Raw genomic sequence first — 13875 nt, forward strand, 5'->3', positions numbered from 1 at the left:
AAAGAGGCCTGAGGAGGGGAGATGCCAGCCTGCCTCTGGCTGCAGCCTCAGGTGGCTTCCGCAGGCTCTGTATTTCCCAGCAGCTATGTTGGTTCTAGGGCTGTGGGCGCCAGCTCGTGGGCTTTGCAGCTGCTTCCCAATTTCTAGGTCACACTCCTTCTCCCATCTGCTCCTCTGCCCCTTTGGATACTTCTGGAATGAACTTCCTCTATGAACTCCCTCTCTGCCTGAAATAGTAGTGCGGTTTCTGTTTTCCAGCTGGTGACTCACTGATACAATTATCAAGCCACCCAGCCAGCACCAGGTTGTAGCGTCCAAGGAACAGAAGGATTCGGCACCCAGAACACGTGATGTCATGTTTTTATTTTGATTTATTTTTTATGTGCATGTCATGTCTTTCTACATGACTTCCCAAGGGTGGGGACTGTCCCCATCATCTATTCATTCAACAGATACTCATGAGTGCTTCGATGGTGGGGAATGAGATGAATGACCAAGTCTGCACATCCACGGAATCGCAGTCTAGACCTGCTTCATCCAGTACTAGCCAGACTGGCTACCGAGCACTTGAAATGCAGCTAGTTCAAATTGAGACCTGCTGTCAGTATAAAACACACACCACATTTCAAAGATTGAGTACAAAAATAAGAAGGTCAAATACCTTACTAATTCTTATATTGATTACATGTTGAAATAATGTTTTGGATATATTGGATTAAATAAAATACATTATTAAAGCTAATTCCACCTATGGCTTTTTTACTGTTTTCAATGTGGTCACTAGAAAATTCTAAATTACATATGTGGCTTGCATTTGTGGCTCATGTATTATTTCTATGGGACAGCACAGGTCTTGTGGGAGTTGAGTTAGGAAACATTCATTTACCAATTCAGCATTTATTAGTGTATTTAAGAGATACGTGGTCCCTGCCTCGAGGGCTTCAGATAGGATGGAGAAGGGGACAGATAGGCCAACGTGGAAGTAAAATTTACTGTGATAAATGTTTGAATTGGTCCATATTCCAGGACTCTGGGGACCCGAAAAGATATCAAGGAAGGTTTCACAGAAGAGGTGACTTTGGTGTTAAGCATTATAGGATGAGTAGGAGTTTGCCAAGCAGGGAAAGAAAAGGAGGGGCACTCCAGGCTCAGGGAACTACATACACAAAAGCCAAGAGGTAGACAACTACGCAGGGTGTTCTGGGGATACAGGAAGTTAATTGTGGCCCAAAAACAGACTGTTGGTGGAAGGGGCCGGAGATGGAGCCAGCCTGTGTAGGACCTTGAATGCCAGTAAAGTTTAAACGCAGGGACAGGGCTGAGGCTCAGGAAAGACTCCTAGGCAGGAAGTGGGGGTCCAGGTGTGAGCGAGCTCACCTACCCATCTCCCTCCAAACTCATAAAGGAACAGACCAGACCTAGTTTGAGTGTGAAAAATAAACTATTTTATTTCAGTGTTTGCTCCTTGCGGTTCAGAAGCACATCTACTGCCTGGTTGGAACCCAAGGCTTTTATAAAACCGTAGAGAAATAGAGCTCTATGTATAGAGAAAATATACATGTTGATTAATTGTGTGACTCTTTCCTGTGCAAAGCAGAAAGTTCTAAATGCAACAGCATGATTCTCTCCAAGTCCTTCCCTGGGATTTGGGGGGCCCTGGAGGCTGTGATCTCACCTCCAATAGAGAATCCCCAATTCTTCCAGCCCAAGGGAGGCCCAGTCATGTAGAAAGAGCAGGAGATAAAGTCAAAGCTGACAACTCATGGGTTCCCCAAGCTTCCTCCGGGGCAGGGGCTATGTTTGGGGGCCTTAGCCCTGCAAAGAAGGGGTAGCTGGGGTGCCAACCTTGTTGGTTAGTGACCAGCACTGGCAGCTAAGGCTGTTGGGAAGTCTAGGCATTGCAGCGGGCAGGCTCATGGGTAGAGCAGGGGTGTCCAGGGCTCTTCTCCCCTAGAACTGGGGTCTGAAGGGTGGTACCTGGGCATAGGAAGGAACCAGGACAGGGCTGGGGACAGAAGGTGGTCACAGTCATGGTTTCACTCTCAGAAATATCCTGGGCCTATGGCTTAAGGCTTCGTGGAGCAGGGAGTGGACCTTGTGGTTATTTACAAGGCTGGGCCATATAAAAGCATTGCAAACATGGAGTGGAGAGGATCCTTGGAGATGAGCTGGTTCAATCACTCCTCTGACCAACAAGGAAACAAAGGCCCAGAGAGGAGAAGGCAGTGCCTGGCCAGACGTGGGACCTGAACCCAGCCAGGGCTCTGACTCCCAGTCCCCCAGTCCCCTCTCTACCTCCTTGTCTTGGCTGAGTCTTTTTTTGATAAAGGCCCCAGACAGCCTCTCCGACAGTCTCAGGTCAGGCTGGGGTTATAAATGGAGCAGTGGACTCAGAGTCAGAGGCCCAGACTCTGCTCTTGGGCCTTCACATTACCCAGCCTTGCTAATAACCACGAGGCCACTGGTGTGGAGGGGGCTGCCTCCTCTCTCTAAGCCTCAGTCTCCTTATCCTGGAAGCAGCGCCCACAACAGTTTCCCATGGTGATTAAATGGGTTGGAGGCCCCGTGAGCCCCAGCAAGTGTGGGAGGCACCCAGCACATAGTAGGTGCTTCACAATGGTGAGGTTGAGGGGGAGGGCTATTAAGCTTGGGCTGCTGGGATGTGGAGGGGACCTTGGGCCTATCACTGTCCCCACCCAGCTCTGGCTGTCCCAAGGGCCCCTGGAGCTGGGTGCAGTCATGGGAAGAGGTACGGGATGCAGTCTAGGGAGCTGGATTCCCTGATCCAGCCAAGGGGCATGCTGTCCCTTTTTTGCCTGCTCCAAGGAGCTATGAAGTAGATCAAACAATATGGTGGGTGGTCAATGGCTTTCCAAAGGGCATCTGGGCAGGAGAGGGAATGTAGGTCTTTCCTCTCTCACCCCAGCCCCAGTCAGCCAAGGTCAGGGCTCCCACTGTTTCTGGCACAGAGCATTCCTCACAGCAAAGGGGGTGAGTGGGGACCCACAGGCTCAGGAGGCTGAGATGGGCCAGGGGCACATTCCATTTCCGAGAGCCCCCATAGGCTGCCCACCCTGCCCTGGGGTCTGGGGCCCAAGAAGGGGCATATTTTGCTCACTAGCTTGGGATAAGGATTGGGATCAAGGTGGGGGCTCTCAGCAGGCTGGGAGCAGGGGTCCCTTAGGCGGGGCCAATGATGACATTCCGGAAGCCCTTCACAGCCTTCAGCTTGTCGCTCTCGAAGTTCACCACCAGCTTGTGGAGGCCCATGTGGAGCGGCAGCAGGTCCATTCTCACCTTAACTTCCTCCCCTGCCTCCACGGGGTCTGGGCTGCAGGGAGAGAGGGGGTGGTGAGGAAAGGGGCCCAAGGCCTGGCTCCCGCATGCTGGGGTCCAGCCAGGAAGTCACGTGACCTCCGAGGATCAGCACAGCGTGTCCATGAATGGGCCTCATTCTCGGCCCTCTGCGGGGCCTGGACAATCTGCCCTCCTAGAGTGAACAGTGCCTGTGCACGCATGTGTGTCCGTGTGCATAAAAGCAGATGGTGCATTTAGGGGCACAAGGGGATAGGCTCAGGTAGCCGTGTGTGTGAAAATGTATTGAGCTGTACATAGGTGATCTGTGCTTTTTACTGTATATAAGTTACATTACAGTAAAAAAGTAAAAAAGAAGTGTGTGCTCGTATGTATGTGTGCAGCTACGTATCTATGTGGAAACACCCACGCATGCATATGTGTGTGCATGCTCATGTGTGGACATTCGGAGGGCAGATACCTGTCTATGTGAGGATGCACGTGTCTGCAGGTGAGCGCCTATTGACGGATGATGTCACTGTGGAGGTCTGTGGCAGATCTGTGCATGGGTGGTGTCAGCATTGACAGAGAATGTGACGGTGGGAACTCTAGCCCCAGGGTGTCTGGGAGTGGGCACAGCTGTGTGGGAGATGAGAGGAGGGGATTTTCAGCCAGGGCTTGGTACCTAAGGACAGTCTCTACCCCCACCGGCATCTGCCCGCTTCCCCCAGGCCCCAAAGCTAGAGCAGCCAGCACTTACATCTCCACCGTCTTCTGCTCCTCAGTCAGGCCGGCCCCCTCCACAGTGAAGGTGCAGCCTTCCAGGGCCACAGGGAGCGGGTTCTGCAGGGACACCTCAGCCACCAGCTTGCGTTTCTGCTTGGGCTCCCCAAGGATCTGGAAGAGGGCATGGGGCAGATGTCAAGGGCAGGTGGGATCCAGGCTGGGCTGTCTGCATTCACTGCAATTTGGCCCAATATTTGCTGAACAAAGCTGTACCCAGGTCTGCCACGATCACCCCCCCTCCCCCCACCTCTGTGCCTCAGTTTCTTCATCGGGAAAACACCGATTGTGCTACCGGCCCAGGTCTCCTGCATGGAGCTGCAATGAGGCTCCACGTGACCCAGGGGATGTCCAAAGTGCCTCCCTTGTCCCAGGGTCTGGAGGGGAAAGATCACAGGCTTTTGAGCCAGGCTGATCTCTGCCTCTTCTTCACTGTGTGACCTGGGGAAGTTACTCCCCACTCTGTACACCTTGGATTCTTCATGGGAGAGAAATGCCTGACTGAGGGTTCTTGTGAGGATTAACTGAGCTAATATGTGCAAGCTTCCAGCAGAATGTCTGACACACTGCTCACTGCCGCTCCCTCTGCTGTTTACCATTTAAGTGTAATTGTTGCCCTTAGGGGTTGTGGGCTGCGGCTCCTCTAAGTGAAGGGCTATAATGATGATGATGGCGATGATAAGGATAGTTAGCTTTCAGTGAGCCCTTATCATGTGCTGAGGATGGCTCTATGTGTTTCCTGTGGATATGCTTTTAATTCTTACAACACCCCTCAGTGCTATTATTAACCCCATGTTACAGATGAATAAACTGAGGCACAGAGGGGCAAACTCACATGCCCAGGGCTGCCCTGGTACAAATTCAGGCAGTGAGACTCTAGTCTGTGCCCTTCACTCCCCCACCCCACCCTGCCCCACCAGTGCCCAGTGCCTGGGGGTTCCAGCCTTAGTAGTATAGCATTTGAAGGATTCATGACTCTAAGATCCCCAAATTCCATGACCCTAACACTCTGGGATTTTCAGATTCATTCCTAGAGGCTACGAGTCCCCAATTCTCTAGGCTTCATGATGCTTTTCTTCGATGAGGCTAGGATTTGAGGATCGCTAAGGCACCAAAGGTCTGGAGCTTGCAGGGATGCAGGTGTGTGGGGTGGGGGTAGGGATCTGCCCTCTCCCCAGCGCTGAGCTGCCCTGGGACCCTGCCCCTTGCCCAGCCTGCCCTTACCCGGATCTTGATTTCTGGATTCTCCAGGTAGAGGTCCCTCTCAGCCAGCAGGTAGCTGTTGATAACTGGCTCCACGAGGAGGGCCCGCACCTTGATGAGGTTGGACTCCGTAAGGCAGTCACGGTATTTCTCATAGAGGATGCAAAGAGGAACGCTCTTCTCTGCAGAAGGGGAGAAAGGAGGGTGCTCATGATGCAGAATCACCCCTCCCAACTCTCTTGCAACTCCAAGAGGCACAGAGAGGGGAAGGAATGTGCTTGGGGTCACACAGCGGGGGAATGGCTGGGCGGATCCCTGAACTCCCCACTGTGGCTCCAGGGTTCCCAGCGAGGAGCTGGAGAGTGGACACTGAGCAGCGGGTAGAGGACGCACTTGGACTCCCACGGGCCTTGGTTCTAATCCTGCCTTTGCCTCTTCTAATGGGTGACCCCGCGTGAGCCACTCCACCTCCCAGGTCCTCGATGTTTGGATCTGCGTGGCACAGGCACTCCTAAGGCTGTGGGAGGATGAGCTGAGCGAGTGTCCCGGAAGAGCCTGGTGCGCTCGGGACTCAGGGTGTGTGAGCCGCGGGCCCTTCATCCTGGGGAGGATCAGAGCCGACATCTGCTTGCTGCACCAGGCACTGCACTTCCCACGGCGGGCTCCTACTTCACCTACATGACAACCCTAAAAGGCTTGTACGTGTATTACCACCCAACTTACAGATGAGAAAACTGAGTCTCCAGCAGGTGAAATAACGTTGTCCTAGGTCACACAGCTGATATGTACTGTGCAGGCATCTGGACTAATAATCCAGATCTTAGAGTCCAACAATATGGTCCACACTCACTGAAGAATGCCTCTCATGGACATAAGGTCATTTCCCTCCACGAGGCTCGTGATGCTGTACCCGTTGCACAGATGAAGAATCACCTCTGCCAGTAAGTGCTCAGATTGGGAGACTTGCCTCAGGCCCTGTCTGGCCACTCACTGGCTGTGTGAGCCCGGGGAGATGACCTCCCCTCTCTGTTTCCCCTCTGTTTCCTCTCTGTTCCCAGATCTTATCACCTGCTGGGCAGAGGTAAGACCAAGGGTCGTTGCAGAGCAAAAGCCGCACAGTGATATGGGGATGAGAAAGAAGATGGCAGGAACAAAGCTACCCACTGAAGTGTGGTTCTTAGCCCCATGTTTCTGAAAAGAACACTGAGGCTGGAGGACCTTAGCAGTTTAGCATTTTAAGGATTCATGTAGTTTAGCATTTAAGAAAACAGACCTGGGGTCTGTTTGTAGGAGGCAGGGAGGAGCAGTAAATAAATACAAGTAGTTGGGTGTAGTGGCTCGCGCCTGTAATCCCAGCACTTTGGGAGGCTGAGGCAGGAGGATTGCTTGAGCCCAGGAGTTTGAGACCAGCCTGAGCAACATAGTGAGACCCCGTCTCTATAAAAAATACAAAAATTCAAGCCGGGAGTGGTGGGGTGAGCCTATAGTTCCAGCTACTTGGGAGGCTGAGGTGGGAGGATCGCTTGGGCCTGGAAGGTCGAGGCTGCAGTGAGCCGTGATTGCACCACTGCACTCCAGCCTGGGCAACAGAGTGAGACCCTGTCTCAAGGGGGAAAAAAAGAGAGAAAATACAAACAAAGTCATGCATATTCAATTCTGGCCAGATACAGTGATGTGCTGTGGACTCTGAGTTTCAGACCTGAGTCTACTGCTAAAGAGGGAGATTGGCAAGGCTTAGGAGGCCAGAGGCAAATCAGCACCCTCAGAGACTTTCCCCAGGAGGTCACCAGAAGGACGGATTGAGACCCGAGGAGACAGTCACTTTCTCACTGTGGGATTCAAGGTTCAGGCTTTGACCTTGAACCTTTGACCGTGAACACTGGTGGTCTGCGTCCTCCTCTTTGGAAAATGCTGCCCCGACCTGCCCACCTCTTTGGCCTTTCATTCCCTGGGTGGATCTGCTCCAACCTCTCATCAGATGATGTGATCTGGGGAAGAAAACCAAACTTTTGTGCCAAAAAGGACAAAAGAGGGTGAAAATTACTAGGTCAAGACCTGGTGGTGCAGAGTGGAAATTCTAGCTAGCTCCACAGGAAAGAAGAAAAACATTATCCTCCGGGGGCTTGGAGGATGTGGCCCAACTGTCGACTATTCTAGGAGGTGGAGGCCAGGGCAGGGCTGGACCTTTGAAAGTCTCCGTCCACAAGCCAGTGGCCACGGCCTTGGTCTTGGGCCAGATGCTGGCTGGGAAGAGGAAACCTGTATGGTCAGTCTCAACCATTCTTTAGACAATTTGCCCTGTTCTAGAAGGTTACTCTGGGGACAGTCACCGAGGCCACATTGGCTGCATTCCTGTGACCCACCTGGAGGGATGAGGGAGGAGAGAGCATGAAAGGGTGGAGGCAGGAAGGAGAAGAGAAAGAAGCAGCAGAGAAAGGAGGCAGGGGTGGGGGCAACTGGATTCCTTTCAGCCATCCAGGGCCTGGCTTCCTGTCCACCAGCACACGGAAATTCCCCAGATCTTATCATCAAAGAATAACAAGTAACTCAACCACAGTATGGGGGCTTAGAGGGAACGCATCTCAGCTTGAGCTTGGCATTGGAGGTTCCAACAGGGGACTTGGACCAGCCTCACTTTCCAGCCAGAGGCCAATGCCCAGGACCTTCTGTCCTCCCCTTCCTCTCCCTGAAGGCTATGTCTCCAGTGGATCCCCAACAGGAGGGACCTGCTGCTCACCCTCTGTGGTGAGCATGTTCCTGGGAGGATGAGAAAAGTCAGCATGCTTGGCTGATGCCAGTGCGGAACAATGCTCTCAGGGTCCCGATGGTGACTTAGAGGTGAGGGCTGACTCCACAGAGGCCTGGGAGGAAGTGATTTTGGTGTGTCTGGCCCAGGCCTGGAGTTCACCTCATGCCACTCATTCTAGGACAGACACTTTCTCCCCTTGGAGCAGCTCTGAGCACGAGAAGGAGCTGGTGGGTGTGCACTGAAACGATGGGACTGGGTCTCCAATGTCAAGCCCAAGACTTCACCACTGCTCAATATATCCGTGTAACAAAACCGCACTTGGACCTCCTAAATGTATACACACACACACACACACACACACACACATACACACACACAAAACAGGGCTGGAAGGGCTCTTAAAAGAGGAAAGCACCTTCCCCTTTGTGTGAATGGGGAACCCATAGCCTTGCTGGAGGAGAGGAATACCCAGGAGCCCACAGCCAGGCAGCAGGCAGCAGGCAGCAGGAACTAGAACTTGGGTGTCCTTGTGTCCTGAACCCCCACACGCCTGTAGAGATGGATCCTGTCTCGGACTCTCGGGGCCTGGATGAGCAGCGAGGGCCGGGTCCTTTCTACACCACCGAGGTGTCAGGGACACAGGAACCCCCGAGCCCAGGGCTGACACCACTGCCTGGGACAGAAGGTGTTCAGGAAAGGTCCCGGGCTTCTCGCCTCCCCACGCCTCTTAGCACTCGCACTCAGGGAGGAGTGAGGGCCCCACCGTGTGCTGGTGCTGCTGTGCCCTTTCCAGATACCTCCTGAGCACGCATCCTCTCCCTCAGTCCTCACGGCTGCGGGCGCATCAGGCAGGCATGTCATCACCCCATGTAACAGGCGAGCATGACCTAAGACTCAGAGAGCATGTTCACCGCGCCCAAGGTGGTGCATTCAGAGGGCAGCAGAGCTGAGATTCAAAGCCAGGTCTTCCTGGCCTCGGGAAATGTCTTTCAACAGCTTCAGTGTTGGGCCCTGTCCTGGTACCAAGAGGATCTGCCCTCTGAGGGCCTGGCCCCTGCTGAGGAGTCTGCCCCGGGCCGGACAGTGGGTGTGCCCAGGGCGTGCAGCTCCAGGAGTGCCCACGGTGGGCCCAAGATAGAAAAACCAGGAGGCAGCAACTGTCAACACTGCAGACGCCCCGCCCGCAACACAGACCTGCTTTCTTAGGAGGGTGAAAGCTGTGCCCCAGACGCCAGCCCATGGGCACCAAGGGTCCAGGCACTGTCATAGAGGAGAGGGACGACCACTGGTTTGACAGGCAGGAGTCCGGGGAAAACAGACGGGGAAACAAACTCTGTAAACACAAACCATGCCCCACCCGAGGGCTCTCCAGCATCTCCAGGTGTGGCCACACTGAATCCCAGGCATGAGTGCCTACTGTGTGCACACTCTCTTACCCCCGATGGTCCTGCACTGTTGGATCATGACCCCCAGGAGCCTGATGGGGACGCTAAGGTGCAGGGGAGTGGCCATTTGCTCTGGTGACACAGCGAGATGCTGCCCAAAGACGATGTCCTACTTGATTCCACTGCCCCTCAGAGGATGGCCAATGTCTCATTCTGCAGCTCCCAGGTCCTCTCCTAGCCTGGAAACCCCTCTGCCCTCCTCACACCTGCAGGGCTCCAAATGGCAGAAAGTGGGATGGGGCTGCTGGGTGGTGGTGGGGCTGCTGGGCGGAGCCCTGGGCTTGATTCCTGGTCCCTCACTGCCTCGCTATGTGACCTCAGTGGCCACGGCTCCTCTGAGGGCCTCAAGCTTATATTTAGGAAGATAACCAGGCACAGTGACAAAGCCAGACAGTGGAAGGGACCCAGAGGACAACCACTGTGCAGGAAGCCTGGTGACAAAGTCTTGGCTCGGGGCTGGGTTGGGTGGTCTAATGACACCATGTCACTGCGAAGGGGATCTGCCTAAAAAGGCAACTAGGCTGGTGCTGGGGACACTGGAGAGGGACAATCAAGTCCAGGAAGAAAGCACTTCTCCCTGCAGAGGCCTGGACGCTCCCACCTTTGGCTCGCCGATCTGCTCTGCCCAACATAGCAGCTTCTGGCCACATGTGGCTGTCTAACTTTCAACACAATTAAAACTTTAGTTTTGGCCAGGTGCGGTGGCTCACACCTATAATCCCAGCACTTTGGGAGGCCGAGGCAGGTAGATCACTTGAGGCCAGGAGTCCGAGACCAGCCTGGCCAACATGGTGAAATCCCATCTCTACTAAAAACACAAAAATTAGCTGGGCATGGTGGTGCACGCCTGTAATCCCAGCTACTTGGGAGGCTGAGATTGCAGTGAGCTGAGATCGTGCCACTGCACTGCAGACTGGGCAACAGAGTAAGACTCCATCTCAAAAAAAATAAAAAAACAAGCAAACAAACAAACAAACTTTAGTTCTACGGTTGCACCAGCCACATTTCAAGCGCTTAGCAGCCACGTGCAGCTGGTGGCAGCCATGCTGGATAGGCGGTGCAGACTCAGCACGTCTCCATCACTGTGGAAAGTGCAACAGGCACTTTCCAAGGCGCTGGGTTAGAGACTTTTCTTTGAGGCCGAGAGCAACCAGAGGCACAGGAGAGGTTCTCGAAGGGCCCATGGAGAGAGGCTGCTGAGGCATGAGGGGCTGGAGACAGTGGAATTCACTGGGAGAGGGCAGCAGAGGGTCTGTGAAAGCAGTCAGGGGTCACACGAAGATGAGGTGAAACCAAACAGTATAGCTGCTGTGAGGACAGGTTAACTCCCCAACTGTGCAACCTTAAGAAAATTACTTAACCTCTCTGTGCCTCAGTCTACTCATCTGGAAAACGGAGCCATGTTAGAATCCACCCCCTCACTCTTGCAATAAGAATTAAGTGGGTTGATATTTATAAAGTGCTTAGGACAGGGCCTGCCCCAGAGTCAGCGCCATGTAAGTGTCTGTGGGGTGAAATCACACATGCTAAGTGGTTAGGTCACTACCTAGCATGTTGTCAGTTGGCGGTCAACAAATGCTCCAGGAACACAGGGCTTTACCAGAGAAAGGCTCCAGGTTGAGGTTGAGCAGGTACTTGGTGCCACACTCGGGCCCCAAGATCCCATTGTAGCTGACGGTGCGGGCACAGAGCAGGAGGCGGCAGACGTACTCCTCAGCGGTGTTGTTGGTGATGTGGGCAAAGACGTCAAAGTCACTGCCCATGTTCATGCTCTGGCCCACACGGATCCGCATGGCCATCCCTGTCTCCTCCTTCTCGGCCAGTTTGTTCAGGTGGTTCGCCCTTGTGAAGGCCTCCCTCTCCTCTGAGGACCCTGTAGGGGTTGAGAAGAGAGCCTCAATCACAGCTGGAATAGATCACAGGAAGGGGGCTGCAACAGGGCGAGCTGTCTTCGCAGAGGCCTGATGACTCAGGGCAGCCATGAAGGAGCCCCTTCTCTACATTTCTGGGCCAGAAGGACACAGCATTTCATTAATTTTCCACTAGTGAACTCCTATACATCCCTCAAGACTCAACCCCAAATGACCCCTCCTCCAGGAAGCCCTCTCTGACCACTCCTTCCCCTGTGTTGTTTTCTGTTTCAAACTTACCTTCTTGAGCTGCTCGAGGGCTAAGGCTGTGTTTTACTTATCCAGTGCCTACAACAGTGCTTGGTGCATACTAGGCACGAATACAGTGCAATCTTTCTTACCTTCAAGCAATTACACAGGGATTACTTCTACCTAAAATCCTTTCCCTCCCTGTCTCTGATTGCTCCCTTCCTTATATTCCATTTGCCTCTCTCCTGTGCTCCTTTGATTTTTTTCTCCCAGTGTTGTTGGGTGCATATCTATTTATTCTATGAAACTATCAGCTCTAGACCTTTCAGGGGATGGGGAGAGCATCATTTCATTCTGTGTTATCCCTTTCAGCTAGAGTATGGCCAGGCAACCCTGGAAAGTCAGTGAGGGTCAGGCCAAGGCAGGAACTATGGTTTCTTAGTCCCCTCTGTATGCTTTGCTATGCTTAGTATTTGCTTAGAAATTAGATACCATATTGAATTGGCTGTTCGATGTGCTCAAATCCAATTTTTAAAAATAAATCAAGTCCTTTCCCCTGCAACTGATTTAACATCAGTAGCAGAGAACTCTTTCCCTAAATGAATAATCCTCTACCACTGTCCCTCAACATGTTTGCTCCTGTTTCTAAGGCATTGCTGAAGATGGAGTATAGCCTACGGGGCCATTGCTGTACGTAGGCTACCAATTAAAACACACGCACACACATACACGAGCCTGCCGGGCTGGGAAAACTGGATGCTTATCTTCAAGGCTGCATTAAAGACTCTGAGGGCACATACCCTCTGGGTATTTGTAGGTGTGGGTGATATCCTCCCGCTCGTCTCGGCCCACGCTCTTAGTGCTGATCTTCAGCCCAACGATCAGGGAACGGTTGATGGATTTGTGCACAGACCCATCGTCCTGCTGGATCCAGTCTACCACGTCGGCATTGACCTCCGCAAAGACAAAGGGCGCATCGTACTTGGTGCTCAGGTCGCCCTCCTTGATGGCACGAACTGGAACTGGGCCACAGCAGTACGTCCCTGGCAGAGGTAGAAAGGGGAAGGGATGGGCCTGGGTGAAGGTTGGGTGGTGTCCTCTAAAACGCTCCACAATTCAATCACATGTAGCCAAAAACCTCAAGACCACGCGGCCCTCTGACGGAAGGACTCCACTTCCAGGAGGGCACCACAGGGCAAGGGTTCAGAATAGGGGCTCTGGAGCACAACTTTTAAGGTTCAAATCCCAGCTCAGCCTGTTATTAGCTGGTGACTTTGGGCCAGTCACTAACTTCTCGAAGCGGCAGTTTCATGTGGAGATAAGATCTGGACCACCTAATGAGCATTCCTGAATTATAGATGTAAAGCTCATAGCCTATACTAAATGCTATGCAAGTATTTGATAAATAAAATGGAAATGTATCCCAGACATCCTGAGGAAATTATGGAGCCAAGGACAGGCAACATGTTAGCAAGGAGGACATCTGTCTCGTTTCCTGCTCATACTGAGAGTGGAGCTCAGTGCCCCGCATGGGGCCAGCCCCAGGGCGTGTGTGTTCTCCAAGTGAATACGGGTGCCTGATGTTTACGTAAGTGTGGTTGATAACCGCCCCACACTGTCCGCAGACTTCCAATGCTGAGGACTAGAGGCTGGATAGATACAGTCTAGCACATCCATGTGATGGACCACGGTCACATTAAATAAAAATTCAAATCACAGAAAACTATCTGCTGGAGAAATGCCAATGCTTTATCCAGAAGTGGACAGAGCTGGGAAAAAATGTTCCATGCCGCTGGAGGTCTTAAACCAGGGCCCACGGATCCCCCCAAGGCACTACCAACAGAATTCAGGGGTCTATGAACCCTATGATGGGGAAAAAAGGGTATCTTTGTTTTCACCATAGCACTTTCTTCAATTGCAAAAGCAGGAAATGACCATAGCAGCCTGAGGAGCACTTAGGACTTGTCACTCATAAGAACCACAGGCGTGGTCATTACAACCTTACAGCTGTCCCAGATGGCAGGAAATTAATTTATGCTCATAAATTATCTCTACAACTATATTATGGAACTTACTGACTCTACCGCTAGATCTTGTTCTATAAAGAAGCATATGTTATTATATCATAAATTCATTTTTTAAAACTTGTGACAACTGTATTTTAATGTAATTGGTTTTCTTTGTAACGCTATGTATTATATTTTATACATTTAAAAATATTCCTAGAAAGTGTCCATATGCATCACAAAATTGTGCCTTAGTGTACTCTCTCTTTCAAACACACAGGTACTACATATATATA

At 52.2% G+C, this 13875-nt stretch overlaps 1 protein-coding gene across 7 annotated transcripts in view; it reads right to left on the reverse strand.

The window, feature by feature from the left end:
• Positions 1 to 346: 346 nt before the first annotated feature.
• The window catches only part of TGM2 (transglutaminase 2), a 41091-nt gene continuing 27562 nt past the window's right edge, over positions 347 to 13875 (reverse strand). For 6 of the 7 annotated variants that reach the window (XM_047440443.1, NM_001323316.2, XM_011529028.2 and 3 more), the window contains 5 exons: positions 12374 to 12616; positions 11075 to 11347; positions 5302 to 5462; positions 4055 to 4191; positions 347 to 3331 (listed from right to left, as the gene is read on the reverse strand). In XM_047440443.1, the coding sequence (XP_047296399.1) occupies positions 3181 to 3331; positions 4055 to 4191; positions 5302 to 5462; positions 11075 to 11347; positions 12374 to 12616 (965 nt within the window). In that variant the 3' untranslated portion in view covers positions 347 to 3180. Of the gene's footprint in view, positions 3332 to 4054; positions 4192 to 5301; positions 5463 to 10904; positions 11348 to 12373; positions 12617 to 13875 lie in introns of those variants that run through there. The other variant, NM_198951.3, reaches the window with a different exon arrangement.

Source organism: Homo sapiens, chromosome 20, assembly GCF_000001405.40.
Source record: "Homo sapiens chromosome 20, GRCh38.p14 Primary Assembly".
In the NCBI taxonomy this organism is placed as follows: domain Eukaryota; kingdom Metazoa; phylum Chordata; class Mammalia; order Primates; family Hominidae; genus Homo; species Homo sapiens.